General features: G+C 44.4%; 1 protein-coding gene across 11 annotated transcripts in view; it reads right to left on the reverse strand.

The window, feature by feature from the left end:
- Positions 1-13,718, reverse strand: part of PTPRT (protein tyrosine phosphatase receptor type T) — a 1,158,017-nt gene that overhangs the window by 311,351 nt on the left and 832,948 nt on the right. For all 11 annotated transcript variants that reach the window (XM_047439848.1, NM_001394024.1, NM_007050.6 and 8 more), the window contains exons 10-11: positions 8,844-9,045; positions 7,388-7,490 (exon numbers count right to left, since the gene is read on the reverse strand). In XM_047439848.1, the coding sequence (XP_047295804.1) occupies positions 7,388-7,490; positions 8,844-9,045 (305 nt within the window). The remainder of the gene's footprint in view (positions 1-7,387; positions 7,491-8,843; positions 9,046-13,718) is intronic.

Below are 13,718 nucleotides of genomic sequence, written 5' to 3' on the forward strand. Positions count from 1 at the left end.
CCACCATTCGCCTTTCCTGGATGAAATGTCCTCATAGACTCTTCCCTCCCTCGGCATCTATTGGCTCAGAGAATGGCACCACTTTCCATCCCACGAACCAAGCCAGAAAACTGGGAGTCATGCTGGACAATGTCTTTTCCTTCACACCCCAACACCCTGCCCCTTGGAGAAGTCATCACAAGCCATGTCCATTTTACCTCTTACAAGTTGTATCTCATCGTCATAAGTACTCTAGTGGTGGGTCACCTTCATTTCTTATCTGAACAATGTAACTGTCTCCCAAGGGTGTTGCTCTTAACCCCGACTGTGCTGGCCCTTTGGCAATGAGATACTACAAGCTTGTCTGCTTGAATTTATATTTCGGAAAGGTGCTCATATCTGACCAAGTTCACAGACTCATAGGCACTTTCTTTTTCTGATTGTCTTTCCTATTTTTAAGGTAATGTTGTTTTGAAGATCACCCCTGGAGATGAGTGTAGGTTTCCTGATGTGCCCTACACTGGCCAGCACTTCGCATGTAGTAGATCTCACATGAGTGCTGGAGGATACACAGCAGATAGGCATTGGCTTGCAGCAGGGCTCAGAGAAAATTCTTGCCCATGGCTGCCCATGGCTTAGAGCCACTCTTTGCCTCAACAGCTTGGCCAAACACAAGGACTATGTTTCTGTTTTGTTTTGAGACGGAGTCTCGCTCTGTCACCCAGGCTGGAGTGCAGTGGTGTGATCTCAGCTCACTGCAACCTCTGCCTACTGGGTTCAAGTGATTCTAGTGCCTCAGCCTCTCAACTAGCTGGAATTACAGGTACCTGCCACCACACCCAACGCATTTTTGTATTTTTCATAGAGATGGGTTTACACCATGTTGGCCAGGCTGGTTTTGAATTCCTGTCCTCAGGTGATCTGCCTGCCTTAGCCTCCCAAAGTGCTGGGATTACAGACATGAGGCATCAGGCCCAGCCCCCAAAGAGCATGTTGAACAATTACCAGTTGCAATTTACACAGTTTAGCTTATTCGACCTTCAAAACAATCTGTGATGTAGGTATTCCCATTTATCGACAAGCAACTTACGGTTCAGAGAAAATAAGTACCTGCTTCCAGTATACCCAGTGGGACAATTGGATAAGACTGGTCTGATTTTAGGAGCCACTCCTGTTTCAGTGTATCCAACTGGGAAGTCAGCTATGGCAGGAAGAGCATAATGGTCTTAGGTCTGAGTGAGGAGCTCCGTATGGGACCCATCTCTGCCCTCAGGGAGGCCACAGTCTAGCAGAGGCTGACAACGCAAGGCACTGACAGAGGGATGACCATGACAGAGTGGCAACTCAGAAGGAGCTGGTGCATTCTGCTGCAAGAGTGGAGATGGTCCTGGATGTGGCCAGTGTGAACCGGATGTTGGAGAGGTGGAGAATGGCATGCTTGGTGGAGAGAACAGCATGGACTAGGGGCCTGTTTGCTCAGAGAAGGACAAACAGTTGGGCACTCACCTTCCCAATGTTCCACACTCCCTTCTGAACAAAGTCTAAATCCAGAGTGAAGACCTTCTTCACCTGGACCCTGCCTGCTCCTTTGCTTCTCTCCTCATCTCTCTGTCCCCACGCACTGAGCTACTTGTGGCTCCCCAAACACACCCTGTACCTTCTCTGTGTGCGCTTTTGCATAGGCTGCTCTTTCTTCTAGGTTACACTCTTCCCTTCTTCACTAACTCCTCCTCATTCCCTAGGTCTCAATTTAAGCAACACTGCCTCCAGGAAGCCCTCCCAGCTTCTGAGCTCACCATTCTACCAAGGGCTGCCTCTCTACTGAACTCTCATGGAAACTTCTGAACAAGCTGGCCAAACACAGGCTCATTGGCACCTTTTCTTTTTCTGATTGTCTTTCCTGTAGACCTTTACCATCCAAAATGGCAGTCAGTAGCCACATATGGCTCCTGAAATTTAAATTAATTAAAATAAAAATTTTAAACATCAGTTTCCTAGTTGTACTAGCCATATATCTGGTGCTCAATGGCCATATGTGTTCAGTGGCAGTCATACCACACAGCACACATATAGGACATTTCTGTAACTGCAGAAAATTCTATTGAACAGCACTCTTTTCAGAATAAGAGGTAGCTGAAGGCATATATACACACACACACACACACACACACACATATATATATAAAACTAGTTACTATAGATATACATATATATATAAAACTAGTTACTATAGATATACATATATATATAAAACTAGTTACTATAGATATACACATATATATAAAACTAGTTACTATAGATATACATATATATATAAAACTAGTTACTATACACACACACACATATATATACATACATATATATGTGTGTGTGTGTGTGTGTGTGTGTGTGTGTGTGTGTATATATATGTATGATGCCAGACACTATCCCATGTAAAGGGAATTCAGTAGTACCAAGCCTTCAGATTTCTTGGAGCTCACAGCCTATAGAGGGGTATGTAGAAACAACAGAAAACAAAACAAAAAATATATATATATGAACAGCTGTATAACACAATTAAAGGCTCAGGAAAGAACTATGAAGGAACTATATAGGTCACTGTTGAGTAAAACCTGGTAAAGGGGCAGACGGAAATGAAAGGAAACCGGAAACAAGGCTAAGGACAGATTCTGATGAGCCTTGAATTCCATGCTAAGAAGCCTGTACTTAATGCAATGGAAAACCAATGACCCATTTAAGAATTTTAAGCAGGAAAGTTAACTTGATCCAATTTGTGCTTCCAAAGGATCACTCCAGCAGTTCAGTGGGGGGTGGATTGAAGGATGAGAAGCTGCAGCAAGCACTCCAGCAAGCATATCCTGGCGGGTGCAGGTCCACAGGATGAGGCTGGAAAGTGCCAATGTGGGAGAAGAAGAGAGAGCTTGGCCCAGGTTCTGAAGTCCAGAGGACCAGTCTCCATGACTAATTAGATGGGAAGGGGAGGAATGAGGGGGAAAGAACATTTCCAAGGAAGTCTTCAGGGATCAGGGGACGGTCTGTTATAGAACCTGGGGCTCTGCCCCCAGCCTCACTTCAGGGACTGCATTATAGGTGACTAATTCATGGCTAAGTTACTTTCTTATGAAGGTTAGTACGGATCAGTCACACATCAGTGTGACAGGTGGGGCGTGGGGGAAGAAGGCTCGGCATGTTCAAGCCAGAACTGAATATTAGATTCTAGTCACTATTTGATTGATCTTTTAAGCAATTCTGGGATTCTGTCACTTAAAAACCAATAAATCTTTGAAGGCCTGAGGAAAGCAATACAAAAGCAATAAATCTCCATTGTGGAGTGTTAGAAAAATAGGCCAAGCTGCTGAGGTGGTTTGGCTGGAGGGATGAGGGTGCGGGAGCCCCACACAGCAACAGTCCTCCCTGTCACATCTCGCCCCCCTGCACACTCAGTTCTACCAGATAGAGTCAGATCCACAGGGCTTCAGAGGAGCAGTAAGTGGCAAAGCAGGGGCTAGAGTTTGGCTCAGCCAGGGTTGGAGCATCACTGGCAGAAAGAAGAGCCTGCCTGAGTGGGGTCTGAAGGCCAAAGTTTCTGTGTGAGTCTGTTTGAGAACACACAGCTCCACTCAAAGAGGGACCCACTGAAGCTCACAAGTGATAGACCGGGCTCACACAAGGCAGAGTTGGAGGACCCCTGAGAATTCCTCTTGCCCACCCCTCATGCCCTGGTTGGTGGAGGTTTACTCCGTAGCACCCCCACAAAAGGGCCACCCGGTCATCACGTGACATACCAGGCAGAGGAACTCAGAACTTCCCAGGGGAGCCATGAACTCAGAGCCAGGATACTAGGTCTATGCACTGTCTTTAACTGTAACAAGCCCCACAAGCTTGGGCCAATCAGTTAACATCTTAGACTTCAGTTTCCTGCTCCAAAATGGAGATGGTATTTCCCAACCAGCTGACTCACCAGGTAGGTGAGGATCAGATAATACAATGGAAGTAAAGGAACAATTCAGAAAACTAATTCAGAAAACTATTAACTGTAAAATTTATTCGAAGCATCCTTAACCCAGTGCATCTAGTGAGTTCTTTGAGTCCTGGGATCATAGAGTGTCCATATTGTTTTCTCCATCCTTCACCTCCCCAACTCACACAACTGCACACTGCTCTGCTTTCCTGGGTGGTGCTCATCTGTCCAGCCAGTCTACCGCTTCTCTCAATCACTACAGTCAATGTACCTAGTGGTTTCATATCATCTTACAGTGGAACTGCAGAAGCAGCTCAATACCCCTGGGTTGCAAGAAACATAAGCCGAGCACACCAGATGCACCAGGCATGACACCATTGGTGGGACCTAGGTGCTTGGACTAAGGAATGGGGATAGTTTAATAAGTGAACACCACATGGCATGATCCATGATTCAATAGCATCACCTCATGACATGATCCAGTCAGATCAAGTCTCCCACATCACGACATTGCAAATGTCCAATCAGATCACTCCATTACCTTCTGCCTATAAAACCTGTCCCCGCCTCCAAAAGCCTGACTCCTGTCTCCTTGTTCAGCAGCCTTGCAATAAACTTTTCTCTCTACAAAAACACAGTACTTCAGAGTTTGGCTTTCTATTGTGCATGGGCAAACAGACCAAGTTCTGTTCAGTGACACTTTTTTTGCTAATTTCATGATTTTGTTTGTTTGTGTGTTTGCTTAATGTCCCACCTCCCTGCCTCACTCACAAACAATTTACTGGAGCCTCAAGAGGACAGAGGTGTGGCTATCTTGTTCCTTACTGTATCCCTATTGCTTAGCTCACTTCCCTAAACATACTAAGTGTTCAATAAATATTTGTTGCATGACCTAGTGGTCAACTACCTCTCATATAACATCCTACTGCCCAGAGTTCAAGGTGAATGAAGGTCAAGATAACTGAAATCCATTGTGATATTTCCACTTCTGTCCTTCCAGTTGTCCTGAAATTCGTGCTGGGTGGCATTGGTTAGTCACTTCCCCTTCTAGTCAAATGCTCAAGAAACAGTCTGGAAATAATTCCAGAAACTGAGTCTACACCCACCCTCAATGCTCTAGAGCCTTGAGAGGAAAAGCAGCCAGACATTTCCAGACACCAACCATTTCCCCTTTGAGCAGTGACATTTCTTTTATTTATTTATTTATTTATTTATTTATTTATTTTTGGATAAAAATGTCACCAAAATATATCATGCACACCTTTCTCCTAGGAGGTGGTATAGTATAGTAAAATGAGTGTTGGCTTTAGGTCATTTGAACTAAGTTTAAATTTTGCCTGTACCGTTTGCTGGCTTTATAGCCTGAGTCAACTGACTTAGCTTCTGTTTGTCTCAATTTCTATATTTGCAAAATGAGGAGACTATTATACAATGTTGCGAGAATACAGGTAGTGTTATATATAGAGACAAGCTGGTAGCAAGTGCTTGTTCCTTAAATGAAAGCTAGCAGGCTCCTGTAAGTTGCAGACCCATCTTTTCAGGGTAAACCAGGACCAAGTAATAAACACGAATGGCTATGAGGGATGACAGCATGTAGGCCTGCTTGATTTTTGAGTCCCTGTGTCTGTTTTGTAGAGTTGCGCTATTCCTTTGCACCCTGACAACTGTCATTTCTCATTGCTACTGGGAAACTTTCATCCCCTTATCCCTCCTCATAATTTGTTGAGTCTTACGATATATAAGCTTGTTAAGTAGACATGCAAAACCAAGAGTATAGAGATTCAGAGGGAAAGTGTAAAGACTTCTCTGACTTAGGGGGAGCATTGTCCAAAGACTTCAGACTACATAGGAACTTCTAAATTGGTGGTGGTTGGTTCTGTCTATTTCAATGCCTATCATTTCTAGATGAAGCTGGATACAGGATAGACAATGGCTAGCTAGACCATCTCAAAAGCCCCCTTCTGGGCTGGTGTCCTAGCCTCCAGTGACACAAGGAGTGAGGCTGCATGCATCTCTCTAGTAGCTGCCCATGTCCTTCAAACAGGCCTGAGCCTCTCAAACACACTCCCATTCTCATCCCAGCACTCCCACCTTGATGTTTATGTTAAAGCAACAACCGCCCTGGTTGCTCCCTGTTATAGCATGCTGTCTCTCTCCTCCATGCCTGTGCTCACACTGGACACTCTTACAACGTTGGTGAAATCTTAAGCATCATTTAAGATACAGCTCAGTGTCCCCACTGGGAATTCTCTCCTCTGAGCTCTTATGCGTATCTCCACAACGACACACTGTACTGTAATTATGTTTCTGTCTCCCCAACTAGAGTTTGACTTTCTTTAGGATGTGACTTATCCATGGCTAGTTCACTGCTGTGTTTCCAAGCACTTAAGCATTGCCCGAGACAGGGTGGATTCTTAAAAAAAAATGTTTGTTGAATGAATGAATGAATGGTTTTTAGGCCTTGGGCCCCGCCTCATTCCTGGTACATAACATACTGAGTTTATGCTTGATGAATTGAACTGAGCAATTTGAAAGTTGTTCCACTCAATGCTCTGCTTCATTTTAAGGGACTGTAGTCCTCCTTCCTGGAGTTCTGGGCAAAACCGGCAGTCAATATTGCTGCCCTTGTGCAAAGTGTATCTTGTTTAAAAGAGATGCCCACGCTCCTGATATCATGAACTAGCAGTGGTCAGTTTAACTATGGAGATGCGTCAGTGTATTCCTGATCTCCAACCACGTTTGGTAAAATCAGCAGTTTTACCTTGACAGCAAGTGCCCCTATGGGACTCCAGCACCCTACAGCCTTAAACTGGACCAGTCCCCAGGTCTTGTCAGATTTGTGATATCTGAGCAGGTTGTTTTCAGTATTCAGCAAACCTGTCTATCTGGCTGTTACTGGCAGTGACACAAAGAAAAGTGACCTTTCCAGGAGACTGTGTTCCAGGCCACCGACCCCACTAACTAAATTTACCATAAACATGTTCCAGGAAGTTTCCTTCTAGACCATCTCAGGTCCTGATTAGGATGTTTCTTGTTTTTTTTTTTTTTTTTTTTTTTTTTTTTTTTGAGACAGGGTCTCACTTTGTTGCCCAGGCTGGAGTGCAGTGGCATGATCACAGTTCACTACACTCTTGGTCTTCCAGGCCCAAGCAATCTTTCCATATCATCCTCTCGAGTAGCCGGTACTACAGGCGTGTGCTACCACATCCAGCTAATTTAAAAAATTTTTTTCTTTGTATAGACGGGGTCTCCCTATGTCACCCAGGTTTGCCTTGAACTCAGGGGCTCCCTTTGAACTGGGCTTGGGGCTGCTGACCTCCTTCCTCCGAGGAAGCTTTGTTCCTGGCCAGTCTTGCCCATGGGCATTGCCAGTCACATGATTCAACTGGAGGCCCATGTGGCACAGAGAAGAAAAACTGCAGACTCCAAGTGAAGAACCATCCTCACCTGACAGGAGCTCCCCGGGACTGAGCGGGTTTCAGCATCACTGTGATGGTCGTGTCTGTCTCATTCAATGGGGTGTCTGTGTCGTACTCAGGCATGGATGGAGCTGGACAGGAAACAGAGAGTGCAGGTGAGTTCAGCACAGATTCCCAACTGGCTCCCCACCGCCCCTTGCTGCCATCCTTAAAGACACAGCATGGATAGAGGGAGGACGTTTAGGAAAGGGGTTGGATAAGAAGCCTTCCAGGCCTTCAGTAAAGGAGGCCCCGATGCCCAACCTGCCCATAGTAGGTTTCTTCAAGGTGCAGTAGTGTGGGGAAGGGTAGCAATGATCTGTCGAGTAACCTGCATGAACCAAAACGTTCCACACCTAATAAACAGATATGTGCAGGGAATATAAGTACTAACAAAGAAGTGAAAGCAGAGTCAACCTTGCCAAACACATTTAAAATGCAAATTACATCAATTATGAACTACTTCCCCTCTACCTTTTTTTTTTTTCCTTCATGAGACCTCCCTTCCCTCATACTCAGCTGATAGGAATGCGACTATATCTATTCCTTTGGGAAGGTAATTTAGCCATTTGTAGTAACAGCTATTAAAACCCACATCCTTTTTAATTCAGTTTTTCCAAATTCTGAATTTATTCCTAAAGCTATAATCCAAACCAATGAATTAAACTTTATTTTGTAACATGTTTATTGAAGCGTTATTTTGTAAAAACACGGAAGCACCAAATATATCCAACCACAGGGGAATGTATAATTAAATTACGTCCATCCACTTGACAGAACATTATAACGAAAGCAATGTAGCAACATAGGAAACACTTATGGGATAAAGATAAGAGAAAACATTAAGCTACAAAAAAAACATGTTTTTCTGGAAAACCATGTGCAAAATATGTATGTATGCAGACCAGAATTGCATACATATTTAGGATAATGAAAGCTGTAAAAAAGGTTCTGAAATAATTCTGCATTGTTGCTGTCTAGTGGCAGAGGGGGCCCTACGGGTGATGGCAGTCTGTAATTTTGGACTACTGTGGCCCTATAATAGTAATTCATTCATTCATTCATTCATTCATTCATTCATCAGGTATTTCATGAGAACCTGCGCTAATGTCTTGTTCTGGCAAAAAGAATGTTCCTGAAAATGAATTTAATAACCAACTTGTGTGCAATATACATTATCTACACACACGTGTACTATTTAATGCAAGCCTGTGGGAAAATTATTTAGTGGCTTGCCACCTAATTAATCTAATTTTTACACTTTAGGAAGTTCATCACTTAGATTTTCTTCATAGGAGACAACAATGGTAACTCACTAGGGACTGGATCGTCCTAATTCCACCCATATCACAGGGTGACAATTCAAGAAAAATTTCCACTTCAAGGAAAATCAGGAAGTGGGGGTGAAACAACCTTTTTTCCTTTTTCCTTTCTAGCAGAGATACCTGAAATTTTGGTGGCAATCCGAGTGGTGACAGGGGGCCCAAAGCCCTTTGCTGTGCTGGCCTTGATGGTGAAGGAATAGGTGGTCCCTGGGTACAGACCCACAAAGAGGTGGTGGGTTTCATTCCGGAGCTTGAACACTTTCCCCCTCTGGCTCGAGAGGTCAGCACTTGGGTCCAGCGAGCCGACAGCCTTGTAGTTGATCTGTAGGACAAGCCAGCAAACAAACAAACAAATAAATGCCTCACTCAGGAAGCTGGATGGAGCTCCTTTAGAGGAACCTTAGGGAGGCGGGGGAAGGGGCAGGCATGTGAACTTGGCCAGCAGATTCTGCTAAGCTGCCTGTTGCTGTCCACTTTCCAGATGATCCCAGCCTCCAAATACCCCATTGCTCACCCACTGGAGCAATGCATGTTCTCATTGATTTGTAGGAGTTAAAACTTAAAATAATTGAACTTACAGAGATAGAGAGTAGAAGGATGGTTATCAGAGGCTGGGAAGGGCAGTACCGGGTGGGGGGATGGTTAATGGGTAGAAAAAATTGAAATAATGAATAAGATCTTACATTTGCTAGCACAACAGGCGGTCTATGGTCAAAAATAATTTAACTGTACATTTTAAAATAACTAAAAGGGTATAATTGGATTGTTTCTAACAGAGAAGATAATTGCTTGAGGGGATGGACACCCCATCTATCGAGATATGATTATTACGCATTGCATGCTTATGTCAAAATACCTCGTGTAACCCATAAATATATATACACCTACTATGTACCCACAAAAAATTTTTAAAAAAAGAAACAGAGGGCGACCCACAGATGTCATTTTGAATTTTCTGACAGTCTCATGAAAAGAAGTAAAAAAAAAAGAAACTAATTTTAACAACACATCTTGTTGAACCCAGTGTATCCAAACTATTATCATTTCAATCTGTAGACAACATAAAAATTGAATGGAATTGTTTACATTCTACTATTCGTATGAAGTCTTACAAATATGTCTTTTACCCCTTCAGCGCTTCTTCATTTGGACTAGCCACTGCTTTTCATAAGTGCAGTAGCCCCGTGAGGCCAGTGGTCACCATGCTGGACACTGCAGTCATAGAACAGTGTCCAGGTAGAGCGTCCCGATGAGAATTATTTATAAGTCTTGTTAAAAATGCAGATCCCAGGCCCCATATTCCAGACAGATAGCGATTGCTGACTGGTGCTTTCTCGTGCATTATCTTTTTTGTCTTCCTCAAATCCTTGGGGGCATCAGGATAGCTACTCTCATTTTAATAATGGAGAAACTGAGGTGCCAATGGAAGCAACTTGCATGCAATCACCATTTTTCAAATTGTATATGGAGATAGTTTGTCTATGGTATATGAAGACCATGCCCCATGTGACATATCATGTGAGTTCAGCAATAACCAAACTGGTCTACACCTGTGGAATGATTTGTGTCTACTGTTCCCTGATCACACACTTGAGTGTCACAGCAAGGTACTAGAAGAGTTTTGAAGCACTCACTCTCAACTTCTGCACTTGCCCAAGGGTGAAAATAACAATTGGTAGCCCAGCACTGGTCCCACGGATCACACTTTGAGTGTCACATCTTGAAATTACACAGTTGTGAAGTGGCAAACACAAGATTTTTTGTTTGTCTTACCTGGTTTGTTCCATTAAAAATATTTAATTAGGCTAGGTGTGGTGGCTCACACCTGAAATCCCAGCAATTTAGGAGGCCAAGGTGAGAGGATTGCTAGAACCAGGAGTTTGAGACCAGTCTGGGCAACACAGTAGGACTCTGTATCTATGTATCTACAAAGTATTAAAAAATTAGCTGGGTTGGTGGTACACATCTGTAGTCCCAGCTATTCAGGGGCTGAGGTGGGAAGATGGCTTGAGCCCAGGAGTTCAAGGCTATAGTGAGCCATGATTGTACCACTGCACTTTAGCCTGGGTGAGAGAGAGAGACCCTGTCTCTAAAAAATTAAAAAAAAAATTAATTATGGTATAATATACATACAGAAAAGCATAACTCTTGATGAATTTTTGAAAACTGGATACAGTCATATAATCAAAAACCAAACCATTACCAGGCCCAAAACGTTTTCCTCACACTCCCTTGCAATCCTACTTGCCTACCCCCATCAGGGATCACCTCTGTGTGACTTTTAACAGCATAGACGAGTTTTGCCAGTTTTTGCACTGTGTATCAGTGAAATCCTATGAAACGCGCTTTTTTGTTTCTGGTTTCTTTCTCTCAACATTATCATTATGTCCATGGGATTCATCCATGTTGTCATGGGTAGTAGCAAATAAGGCATTCCCAGGTACATTCAACAATCTCTTGCAGACACCGTACTAGGCAGGTCTGACTCCAAAGCCTGTACTCTATATTCTATACCACATTGCCTGGCCTGTTAACAGTGCATCAGTTGAAAAATGAATTCACTCATCCACTTATTTGCTCCTTCACAGTGTTTCCTGTGTACTCCTGTGTTCTAGGCCCTGCACTGTGTGCTGCTGGAGAGGTGCCCAACTGAATTCAAGTCAGGCCTCATCCTCAAGTGACTTCCATTCTTGAGAGAGGTAAGCCAGCTATATACACAGCTGACATCACTTATCTTCCATCAAGAATGGCCAAACCCAGGCAGAAAAGGAAGCACACCAACTTCCCTTCAAAAATAAGCAATTTGCTGTTACTGGCAATGGCACCAAGTGTTTTGGAGAGAAAAGTGATTTCTCTGTCCTATATTAAACAGTAGTGGTGCCGCATCCTTGAGGAGAGAGGTCAGACGGTGCCCAGAGCAGAGTGTGCGCAGGAGGGAGGAAAAATGCAGGGAGCTGAGGGCTTTGGGCTTTTTTTCAAGCAGCACCTGAGTGTGCATGTGCACCATGCAGGTGGCTGCTAGCTTCAGGCTGCTCTGGTGGGCCTGTCTACAGCATTCCCTCTGGTCACCCCTACCCACCCCACTCCTTCTCAGAGGCAAGTGCTACAGGCATCTATCTGCCTCTCTGTTTGAGGACTTTCTCCATGGGTGCTTGCTGGGAATGGGGGTTAATTAACACCCCAGCCCTGATGGGAGTTGATGCATACATTCTCCAGGCTCCCCTTCCTTATACCCCTGCAAGCTCCCCCTCCTTGGTATTCCTGCAGCATCCCAATTTCCCTGAGAGGCTCAGCTCCACTTGCCTCTAGAGGCAGCTGGTTTGAAAACACAGTGATGATTGGCTACTTTCCTTTCTCTTCCCCACTCCATATCTCTTTACTGGTGTTTCTTAAACTTCTTGGCAAACTGCTCATATTCAAATCCCCATCTCAGGGTCTGCATCTGAGAATGACCAAACTAAGGAAAAATGCTCGTGGAGGTATCTCAGGAGAGAGTGCAACTGACATCCGAAGGACAATCCTGAGTCAGAAGAGGAAAGAGTATTCTAGCTTCTAGGCAGAGGGAACCGCGTAGGCAAAGATCTGGGATGGGAAAAGGTTTGGACAGAGCAAAGCCCAGAGCCACTGCAGAGCAGTGAGCAAATGGGGGCAAATGGAGTTTTCAGCATGCAGGTGGATTCTGGTTTCCACTGTGGCAGAAAAGGGGAGATGTACAGACAGTTCAGCCTGTAGCCACCAACCCCAGTGCACCAGTGGAGAGGACGTGTGCTTGCATTCTTTGAAAATTCTGTCCCCGTCCCCCTGCTTGGACTGGTGGCAACTACATTGATATACAGACACTGGGAGGTAAAACTCATGCCTTATTTACTAGCCAATTCCTTTCCTGCGCTCCAAATTCAATCCAAAAGCAACTCAATTTCCACCGAGCTGTCAATATAATATACCGCGCTCTTCTGCTCTCCTAACCTTTCCTGGTATTACAGGATCCTCACTTACTTGTAATGAAACACTATGAATAAATCAATGTATGTTAATATAGCATGTCTTCAATTTTTTATGAAGGGCTTCACCAAATCTAATTCCCACTGCTTTGTCAGAAACAGTCTTTGAAAAATTTAACTTGCAAGTTTCACGAAGTTAGTGAGGGATCGGGCTGGGGAGGGAAAGAAGAAAGGTGAGAAAAATGGGATGGGAGGGAGCTGTGGCTGTAAACGTATAATATAATATGAACCTTCATTTATAAGCGGGGAAAACGGAAGATTTGTAGAATAGCAAACATAAAATAAAGGGTTAGTAGGGGGAAGGGTACACAGCTGCACATCAACCCTGGGCTCCTGGCATGGGTTCTGGCTGCAAAAAGTACTCAAGGATGTCCCCCTTCTCTTTTAGTTGCTGACAGTAGGATCCACAGCCAGAAACCAAAGCAGGTGCTTCATAACAAAAATCCCAGGCTGAGCACAGTGGCTCGCACCTGTAATCCCAGCACTCTGGGAGGCTGAGGCAGGTGGATCACCTGAGGTCGGGAGTTCGAGACCAGCCTGACCAACACAGAGAAACCCCGTCTCTATTAAAATTACAAAAAATTATCCAGGTGTGGTGGTGCATGCCTGTAACCCCAGCTACTCGGGAGGCTGAGGCAGGAGAATCACTTGAACCTGGGAGGTGGAGGTAGCAGTGAGCAGAGATGGCGCTACTGCACTCCAACCTGGTCAACAAGAGTGAAACTCCCTCTCAACAACAACAACAATGACAAAATCCAATCATGTCGTAAGAGCAATGCTTTCCCAGAGCTCTCAGGATGAAGAATGTGTCTCTGTCATGTGGTCTTAATCAGCTCAGTGCGTGAGCTGGCCTCGCTCGTCCTCCCCCCAGCACCCCAAGCCTTACTTCAGTACTAAAAAGAGCCATGGTCTTTTCTGCCACAGGAACTTGCACCAGCTCTTCTGTCAGCCTGGGCCCCGTCTTCCTTCCCATGCCTCCTTGTTGCCTCATTCA

This window comes from Homo sapiens, chromosome 20, assembly GCF_000001405.40.
Source record: "Homo sapiens chromosome 20, GRCh38.p14 Primary Assembly".
In the NCBI taxonomy this organism is placed as follows: Eukaryota; Metazoa; Chordata; class Mammalia; order Primates; family Hominidae; genus Homo; species Homo sapiens.